This window comes from Homo sapiens, chromosome 16, assembly GCF_000001405.40.
Source record: "Homo sapiens chromosome 16, GRCh38.p14 Primary Assembly".
Classification (NCBI taxonomy): Eukaryota; Metazoa; Chordata; class Mammalia; order Primates; family Hominidae; genus Homo; species Homo sapiens.
The window spans coordinates 59,011,563-59,022,589 of NC_000016.10; the positions used below are offsets into that span (position 1 = coordinate 59,011,563).

The 11,027-nt window shown below is 36.3% G+C and overlaps 1 annotated feature.

The window, feature by feature from the left end:
- Positions 890 to 1,090: a silencer, noted in NCBI's record as "peak2609 fragment used in MPRA reporter construct". NCBI's record gives its function as "represses an SCP1 promoter by STARR-seq MPRAs in K562 erythroleukemia cells {active_cell/tissue: K562}" and the evidence as "EXISTENCE:reporter gene assay evidence [ECO:0000049][PMID:32103011]".

Sequence of the window (11,027 nt, forward strand, 5' to 3'; positions counted from 1 at the left end):
TATGCAATACAGTATTATTAACTATAGTCACCATGCTGTACCTTAGATCCTCAGGACGTATTTAAAAATGTAGATGTATTTAGTGCAGATACAATGCTGGAATTTTTTGATGCCTATATAAAGGAAATAAGTGAATAAGTAAAACCGTTTATTTAAACCATGGTAAGGAACTGGAAGTTCTAGAAAGCACATTTAGTAGAAAGCTCTGGTCTTATGACACTAAAAGTGCTCTTGTAGCTATCAACAAATATTACTTTCTTGCTTATTAAATGCTTAATTATTTTCTTGCTTATAACTTTCACATTGTATGTTGCCACATAGGAAATGTATTCCGTATTGATGTTAACAACAATATAGTTCGATATACTGACAATATTTGAATTCCCACCAAGCTTCTGGTTTTCTAGAGAGAATGGTTTATCCAATGAGGATGGCAAATGGCAATTTCTGGCAGCAATGCTAGTGATAGTAGATTTACTGGAACACAGCTTGGAAGTATTTTTCATATCCAAAAAGGAAAATTGTCTTTGTATATTATGAAGTCCATAATGACCAATTTGTAATTGGAAATCCTTGCCACCGAACAAGCTTATGTTGTAGCATATTGGGGGAGAAAATTATTTCTACAGTGGTATGTTTTAGCAACAAAATGGTTCATGCAAGATCTAGCAAAAGCGGTTTATATTCCTGATGAAGTCCCTTGTGGAATCATACTTATTCTTTCATTTTACATTATACCAACACTGTTTTAAAAAATACAATTTATTTTTCAATTATAAAAGTAATACTTGCTCATTATAGAGAAGTAAGTGTAAAACATAATCTCAAACACCTAGGGACAATCACTGCTTTCATATTTTTAAACTTTAATTTGTTTTGATTATACAAGTTAAACATGTTTAGGGAAGAAATTTAGAAAATTCAGACATGCAAAACATAAAAAAAATGAAATCACTTGCAAGTTCACCACTAAGAGATGACTACTTCTAACATGTTGGTCTCAATTCCTATCTAGCTTATACATACACGTATTTAAGATAAGCATTTTAATTTTTAACAAAAAGGAACCCCATGTATTCGGTTAATTTTTTTTTTTTTTTTTGAGACTGAGTCTCGCTCTGTCGCCCAGGCTGGAGTGCAGTGGCGCGATATTGGCTCACTGCAAGCTCCGCCTCCCAGGTTGACGCCATTCTCCTGCCTCAGCCTCCCGAGTAGCTGGGACTACAGGCGCCTGCCGCCACGCCCGGCTAATTCTTTTTTTTTTTTTTTTTTTTTTTTTTTTTTTTTGGTAGAGACGGGGTTTCACTGTGTTAGCCGGGATGGTCTGGATCTCCTGACCTCGTGATCTGCCCGCCTTGGCCTCCCAAAGTGCTGGGATTATAGGCGTGAGCCTCCGTGCCTGGCCTGGGTTATAATTTTTATTATCACTTAACATTTCATTTTTCATATTCCTAGGCCAATAACATGTTTTTATAATACCACTTTTACTGAATATATAGAATTCCATTATACTACAATTTATTTTACTAATCTTCTATTATTGGCATTTTATAGACAAACCTTCTAAACTAAATCTTTACACCTACACCTAAAATTAGTTATAATTTTTGGATTAATGTTTAGAAATGAAATTTCTGTGAAGGAAACATAATTTTCATTTTCACTGAGAGCATATGAATTTTCATATACACTGTATATCAGCATGCTTGGGCATTGCATATAAGTGTATAAATATTTGTTAATGTTCTGGTCAAAAAAGGCAGTCTTATGATGTTACAGTTTGATGACTTATAAAGTCTGGTGCTTGTAAAGAGAGAATTATTGAGCATTTGAGAGATATATTATTGCGCATATAATTATTGAGCATTTGAGAGATATATCCAATGGCCAGATAACATTATAAGACTGGAAAGAACTGATGTTCACTTACATTGCTTCATGGAATGAGGGTTTTGTGAGGAAGCTTATGTTAACTGCACCTCTAGAGTAATAAAGCCAGACGCCAAAGAGTCTGGTACTGAATTGGAGAGAGGAAAGTTTTTCAAGATGAAGTACAACTCTGGTTATCAGATCTTCTCATCTTCTCCCTTCAGTAAGAAGTTTTTTAGTTAATTCTTTTTCTCCCTTTAGTTTTAATTTTCTTTAGAGATGGTGTTTCACTGTATTGCCCAGGCTGGGTTTGAACTCCTGGGTTCAAGTGATCCTCCTATCTCAGCCTCTCAAGTAGCTGGGACTACAGGTTTTACCAATTCTTCAACACTTTTCTGTTCTGGTGCCCCACAGGCTATTTCTTATTGCTTTCTGCCCTTTTTTAAAAATTAAAAAAGTGTTTTTTATAGATGGAAGTCTTGTTATGTTGCCCAGGCTCGACTCAAACTCCTGGGCTGAAGCAATCTTCCCGCCACAGCCTCCAAAGTAGCTGGAGCTACCAGTGTGTGCCACCACACCCGTCTTGCTTTCTGCTCTTATTAGCAAGTGTGTACTTTCTGTTTCTCACATTTAAACTTAATAGATAAATAATACTATCGGTTCAGAGCATCATGATTGTTCCTTTTGGGTCATCCCTTCATACCATCTCAATTGTCAGCTGGACGTCCAAGCCTTATCATTTGCCACCAGAGAAGCAGAGTCAGGGATGGTAAACTGTGTGATAACCCCATCCACAGAAGGACCTTTTATTCTTTTCTGGCTAAAACTGAGAGCAAAATCGGCTTCTCTCTGACATTGTCCTTTTAATTTTTAAATTATATTTCACTGAATAAATTTCATATATCCACTGGTCATTTGTATTTCCTTTTTGTAAATTAAGCATTAATGTGTTATATTCCAAGATTAAAGTAAAAAATGCAAACCTATTACTGTTTAACAGAAAAATAATTAACATGATATTTTTGCTTCCTGTTTGTTTTAATCAAGCAGTTTTGAAGTTGGAGAGTATTGGAATTTCTTAAATCACTTAAAATAATTTAGACCTGCTATTAATTTTATATCACAAGTGAGTAGTTAATGCAGACTTAGCAAGTTCATTACTGTTTTTTAATTAAACATAAGTTGATTGTAAAGAGAGAATTATTGAGCATTTGAGAGATATATCTAATGGCCATATAATTAGATTAAAATTACATAAGCAAGAAATGCCCAATTTAATTCTTGGTATATTAACTGTATATGAAATGTACACATACTTGCTTCACATTTATATGTGAAGAATAGGCTACAGCAAGATAATTAGGGATTACTTTTGAAAATGAAGGTATTTAATAGACATATTAATTGATATCAATCTTCCTACAAATAGCCCATTAAGTCAAAAACTGTTACATAGAAAATAGTTTATCAATAAAAATCAAAATGTACATTTTTATATGCAAAGTTAATTGCCTGCCGCTCATATATTTTCATTTATTAAAATTAAGTAATGATTTTCTTTGCTTTGCTGATAATTAAATAATTGTAACAGTCAATGAATCTCAATTAAATGTTGATGGTAGCTTACAATCAATTTACAAAAATTATAACAATAATATACCAAGCAATCAGAAACAATACAATCTATATGTATTATACTAAGATAAGAAAACTATATGGCTAAGTTTTATTTGCATATACTTAACATTAGATAAACTTCTAATAATTAAAAAATAGCCTCTTTAAGGGGAATATGCAATCAATTGACGGAATATCATATCAGAACTTTTATAAAGATGCTGGTGACTGAGGACTATTCTTAGGGAAAGTGAACATTTCAAGTCAATTCACAACATCTATTAGATGCCAGTTTGTAAAAAAAAATTATAAAGCTTAAAAGTAAATAATAATAGTAATACTACGAATAAAACATCAAGGCTTGGGACAAATATAACTGACTCATAATTAGTCGTTGGATCTACCTGATTACTGCAAAATTGCAATCAAATATAATCAAAAGAAAAGCCAGAAAAAATGATAGCAGTCTTAGAGGAGAGTGTTAGAATAAATGGATCCAAATGAACATTACATCATTTTGTTTTTCTAATAGAAAATCATACCTATTAATGGATCATAAAATTTATTTGAGTCACATAAGCATTAACAATAAAATAGGAAAAAATTGAGATAAAGTAGGTATTATTACCCATAATAACGATAAATGTTTTGCTATGAAGCTTTGGTTTTAGTTTAGTTATATATTTAGGGGTATGTATGTGTATTGGGTGGTGACATAAACTATATTTCTATTGTAGGTCACAGCCAAAGATGAAAAAATAGATATATGTTATAAATGTCTTGTATAATGATCAAAATTTTATAGTTTGTGGTTTGTCTTGTAATGTGTGGTGATATACAGCTATGAATATCAACTTGAATCAAACTGTCCAGAGTTGAAACATGGCTGTAGCATTTAATAGTTCGGTGACAAAGGATAATTTTCTTGAACTCTTTGTGTTTCCCCATTTGTAAAATATATACAATAATAGTATCTAACTGACTGGGTTGCTGCAAATTTAAACAGAATAAATGGAAATGAACATGTCAAAAGTTAGGCCATAGTGAACTCAAAATAGTAATATTAAGGTTCTCATAAATGATTCAAATAAGGTTATTTAGAGAGACTTCCACTCCTGACCAAGATGGAGTAAGAGGTGATAAATTTATCATCCCACCTGTAAAAAACACAAAGACTGGACAAAATATATGAAACAATGGTTTTCAAGACACTAGCCCTGAGGCAGTGGAGCACAGGCATCCCTGAGAGATGGGAAAGAAATGAGATGACCCCAGTGATTGCCCAAGTTTACTGCCTAGAGACAACCTCAGGTGGAGCCAGAAGACCCCCCTGATGCAAGACGGAGGTGAGTGTCTAGAGAGATGAAGGCAGCAAGAGTTTATAGGAGAGAGTACTGAAGATGTGAGAGCTTCACACACAGAGAAATCCAGAGATTGCAGAGTACTTCTTGAGTATTTAGCTGAGTACTAATCAACTGTGTGTGTGTGTGTGTGTGTGTGTGTGTGTGTGTGTGTGTGTAAAATCTACCCAAGGCTACAAAAAGGGCCACCTGAAAGGATTAAAAGGAACAGTACTCAGATCTCACACAGGGCCAGTTCCCACAAACCAGAGTGAAAAAATTCATAATTCACGGGGCATTGGGTAGAGTACTCACAAGTTTCTTGCCTTAGTGTTGGGAAATAATTAGCATTAAACTAAACATGGCTGTGGTTCTGCCTAATAAGTGTTAAAAGCAGAACCCGAAAGTATCAAACTGTTTACAGGTGACTAAACTATATCCCAGAACAAAGCTCAAGAATATTTGTGGTACTACAGAAATACCCAGTCCGTAGCCACTTATGCCTAGTGTTCCATTATTGGAACGCTAAGCATGTGGGAGTTATTTATATCCTACTGCTCAAGGTCACCGCCATGGTCTGATTGCAAAAATTCAAAAAATTGTGACCCCCAGGCATAAATGAATTAAGAAGGTAAAAATCCCAATGTCTGGCATCCACTAAGCAATTATGGGGGAGGTAAAGAAGCTGGAAAACATAACCTATATTGAAGAGAAAAAGGAATCATTTGAAATCAACCCAGAACTGACAAGTATTAGAATTAGCAGAAAAGAACAAAAAAAGTCCTAATAACTGTATTCTATATACTCCAAAAGTTAAATAGAAACATGGAAGATACAAAAAGGACCTAAATGAAACTTGGAGATGCAAACTGCAATGTTTGAAATGGCAAACATAGTGAATGGGATGAATGGCAGATTAGACATTGCAGAATAAATGATTAGTGAACTTGAAGGTATAGCAATAAGAAGTATCCAAAATGGAAGACAATGACAAAATGAATCAGTGATCTGTGGCTCAACCTCAAGTGATATAATATATATGCAATGTAGTCCACATAGGAGGAGGCACAGAAAAAATAGTTGATGAAATCATAATTAAAAATTTCCAGGGTCAGGCACAGTGGCTTACGCCTGTAATCCCAGCACTTTGGGAAGCTGAGGCGGGCGGATCACAAGGTCAGGAGTTCGAGACCAGCCTGGCCAATATGGTGAAACCCCGTCTCTACTAAAAGTACAAAAATTAGCTGAGTGTGGTGGCAGGTGCCTGTAGTCGCAGCTAGTCGGTAGGCTGAGGCAGGAGAATTGCTTGAAACCAGAAGGCGGAGGTTGCAGTGAGCCAAGATCGTGCCACTGAACTCCAGCATAGGCGACAGAGGGAGACTCTGTCTCAAAGAAGAAAAACAAAAATTCCAAATTGAGGAAAACTATAAACTCACAAATGCAAGAAACTCAAATAACCCAAGCACAAGGAAAATAAAGAAAATGACACCAAGGCACATCATGATCAAATTGCTCAAAACCACTGTGCTCTGCTTGGCCAAACCCATGGCTGGAGTCACCCTAAAAGTGTTGGCAGGGGAGTTCCCTCAAGGACCACCCCAAACCATCATGAGTTAGGGCCAGCTGGAATTCTAAAAAATGAAGTACTAAATGCCAAAGGGTGAACAGTCCAAGTATTGATTAGGGGAACTTTTGGGAGGCTGCAGCATCCTTGCATTGGACAGCAAGAAATATGTTCTACCCAGGTATATTTGTAATGAGGGGGTCGGGTTATGGAGTTTATATGGGGATTTAAGACATTTGGCTCAGGGTTGGGGCTAGTTTCTATGTGTTTAGCAACACCTTTAATCTTTCACTGTTTTGGGCAACAACCAGAACAACTTTATCGGTGCCTAGGAATGTTCAAGGCCCCTGATTTGGTCCAAGCCTGCAGGAAAAAAACATTCAGCTGAATAGGTCACAGGGTGGTCAAGACATTAAGTGTTTTTTTGGTCAGATTAATGAAAGAAAGTGGGGGTGGGGGGACCCTATACACAGTTAAGAGGAAATAATTGAAAGGAGTCAAGAAAAAAGCTACATTACCTACAGAGGAACAAAGATAAAGATGCCTGCAGATTTCTCGCTGGAGAATGAAATTGAGAAGATAGAGGAAAAACATCTTTAAAGCAATGGAAAGAAAAAGACAAACCCAAACCTGTCAACCTAGAATCTTATCCCCTGTGAAAATATTTTTCAAAAATAAAGACGAAATAAAGACTTTTTTAGAAAAAAAAAAAAAAAAAAAAAAACACCAGAAAGAATGGCACATGCCTGTAGTCCCAACTACTCAGAAGGCCAAGACAGGAGAATTGCTTGATCCCGGGAGGTGGAGGCTGCAGTGAGCTGAGATCACACCACTGCACTCCAACCTGGGTGAGACAGAGAGAGACATCATCTCGGGAAAAAAAAAAAAAAAAAAGTGCACAGCATTCCTGTGTTCTAAGAAATGCTAAAGGAAGTCCTTTAAGGAGAAATAAAACCATACCAGAGAGAAATATGAATCTATATAAAGAAATGAGCACTGGAAATGATAGTTACGTTGGCAAATATACAAGATTATTTTTAAAAATCTCCTTAAAAGATTATTGGCTATTTAAACAAAAATAAAACAATTTATTGTAAGATTTTGACATATGTAAAAATAAAATGGCTAAGTGGAGAGAAATGGAAGTATACTGTTGTGAGGTTTTGATATTTCACGTGAAGTGGTAAAATATACCTTGAAGGTTAACTACGATAAGTTAAAGATCTATATAGTGAACCCTAAGGCAACCACTAAAATAAAAAAGACCCTAAATTAAAAGGTAAAGATTATCATATTGAATTTAAAAGCATGACCCAACTACATGCTGTCTACAGAAAACAAAATTTAAATATTGAAACACAAATACATTTAAACTAAAAGAATAGAAAAAGACATACCATGCTAACATAATACTACTCAAAAGAAAGTTGGAGTGTCTATATTAATTTCAGATAAAGTAGGATTCGGAGCAAAGAATATTACCAGGGTAAATGAAGGTCATTTTATAATGATAAAGGGGTCAATTCATCAGGAGAACATATCAGTTTTAAACGTTTAAGCATCTAATAACAAAGCTTAAAATACATAAAGCAAACATGAAACTGCAAGGAGAAATGGTCAAATTCACAACTGTAGTTGGATTATTTCAATGTCCCTCTCAATAACTGACTGAAAAGGTAGACTGAAAAATCAGTTAGGATATGGAAGACTTAAATAGCAGGATCGCCATCTTAATCTAATTGACTTTTATACAATACTCCACCCAACAACAGCAGAATTCTTTTCTAGGAGTCATGGACCATTTACGAGGTCACACAGTATTTTGTACCATGAAACTAATCTCAAAAAGGACGTAAGACATACAGTGTATGTTCTCTGAAATGACCAATCAATGACAAAAAGGTATCTGGAAAATCCCCCAATACTTGAAAACTACGTAAGACACCTCTAAATTAACCTTAGGTGAAATAAAAAATAAAAGGATATTAAAAATTATTTTTAATTGAAAGAAAATAAAAATATACAACAAACAAAATTTGTGGCATGCCATTTAAGCATGAGTAGGGGAAATGAATAGCATTAAACACCTAGACATTATAAAGCTGCAATAATTAAGACAGTAAGTTATTGGCATAAGGACAAATAGATCAGTGGAACAGAGAGTCTGGAAATAGAGCTATACATGTATGGGTATACATGATTATAAAAATGATAATTAAAAATGACTATAGTTTATGATATTTGTGCATTTTTTATGGAGATATAAACCTGGAAATGTAGGAAGGGATCTTGCATATCTTTTTGGGGAGTTTGAACATATTATGAAGATAATATATAGCTACTGAAGAATTATAAAGGAAGAGTAACAGGATAAAATTTATTTTGGAAACATCAGAGGGAAAGTGGTATGGAAGATGGATTATAGAAGCATGAGACATGACAGGCAGTATAATCAGGAGGCAGTGAGGTTGAATAAAATAGGGGAATATTTGAGATATATTTAAGAGGACAGAACCTGTGGTCTTTTCTGGGTGATTTAATAAGGTGAAGGACTATGGAGTAGAAGGTATCAAGAAACAGATCGCAGATTTCTAAGCAGAGATCAATACCATTCACTGGGATAGAGAACAAGAGAAGGAGTAAGTTTTAAAGGGCTCGTGATGATTCAGTTTTGAATTTGTTGAGTTTGAGATTCTTTCGGGACTCCTTTGGGCAGTTGTCCAGTAGTCGGAAGGATACTTGGGACTAAAGATGTCAAATGAGAGGACTGGTTTCATGGTAAGAATTTGGAAGCTGTCAGTATTTGTATGGAAATGAAAGCCATTGACTTGAAATTTCACAGAAAAGAATGTATAAAATATAAAGCGAAAAGTATGGAAAATGTAATTAAGTCTGGAAAGTAACAACATTTAAGGAATAAGCAGAGGAAGAAGAGTTACTGGGTGAATCCAGAGTTTATTTTTTGGGGATGTGGGGGCAGAAAACAGATTAGAAGTGTGTGTGTGTGTTGTGTGTGTGTGTGTGTGTGTGTGTGTGTGTGTGCGCGCGCGCACGCATGCACGTGTTGCTGGCAGTAAAAGTGCTGCATAGGGAACTTGTCTTGAAACTGTGTTTCCATCAAAACTTACAGGTTTTACTCAGACTACGTGTTTATGAGAGAGGACTGTTGGAGATGAATATTGTCACCTTTTCTTCACCATACAAAGACAGACTCACTAAGGAGACTAAGCAGGTAGAGTCAGAGATAAGAAGGGAGGGGACATTGTTATCCAATATTGGAAAGCAGGCAAATAAGATAAGGAATGTAGTTTGTCAGGTTATCAGCAGGCAACATTGAACTCTCAAATTGGGTAAGATGAGGCAAAGAGGCTTGATAAGGACACTGTTTACCAAGGTGTGGGCAGAATGTAAGGAGACTCCATGCGATTGTGCCTTTCACCAGGGCAGGAAGATGGTGATGCTGTGACTGCCTAAAAGGGCAAGAGGAGGAGCAGTTACCCAGAACCTGGCATGAGAGAGCTTTGTGGAGACTGTTGCTGAAGGAGTTGTGGACCTCCCCAGCAGGGAGGGGCTGGAGGGTAATTCCCCTGACCCTCTGTTGACTCCTCCCCTCACTTCTCTGGTCTGTGCTCTCCATTGGCCAAGTCCAATTGGAAGCAAGGGAATCAGTTACTGTAGTCCATGTACAGCAGCCTCTGGGTGCAGAGCAGGTTGGAAGAGAGATGGGCGTGGATCTGAAGGGGGCAAACAAAATACACGGAGCATAGACTGAGGGATATTGTTACTAGAATTCATCCCAAAAGGTCACTGGGGACTCTAGTTGAATAGAGCTTTCAGGGCAGCAGTGGGGCAGGGGGTCGATTACAGAGAGTAAATTAAGGATGAACCAGGAGTGAGGAGGAAGAGCTACTGTTGAGGGAGGGAGTTTGGGGAGTCACTGGAAGTAAATTTGCTGTCATGGGTGGCAGGCACGAGTTAAGATGGTAGATTCCTATTTATGACTATATGGTGAGTCATACAAAATCACGGACTCAAAACGGTGTCTGTTTCCCAAGATTTCCCTGTAATTTTTAATTTTCCAGAACTGTGAGAATGATAAGGCTGGTTTGATATAAACAGACATATATTAGGACTAATCTGTAATAGAATGTGTCTTCCTTTCTCTGTGTTCATTGAACCTCGTATACGCGTGTAAGTTCTGCACACACTGTATTGTGACTTGTTTTATGTGTCTACCTCCCCTACAAGACAGAAGATATACCACTTTTAAAATTTAAAAATTTTAATTTTTATGTGAAGCAAAACAAATTATTTAAACAGTTGACACAGTATATTATATTTAAAGGAAAGTAATTTTTTTTTTGAGACGGAGTCTCTCTCTGTCTGTTGCCCAAGCTGGAGTGCAATGGTGCGATCTTGGCTCACTGCAACCTCTGCCTCCCATGTTCAAGCGATTCTCCTGCCTCAGCCTCCTGAGTAGCTGAGATTACAGGCGTGTGCCACCACATCGCAAAGGCATAGTGTAACTCATTAATGCAATTTTTCTATATTTAGGATAGCAAAATAAGCTATTTAGTTGTGAAGTATAGACCCATCCCTCTTTACTATATACCACATACCTTGCTTTTATCATCTAC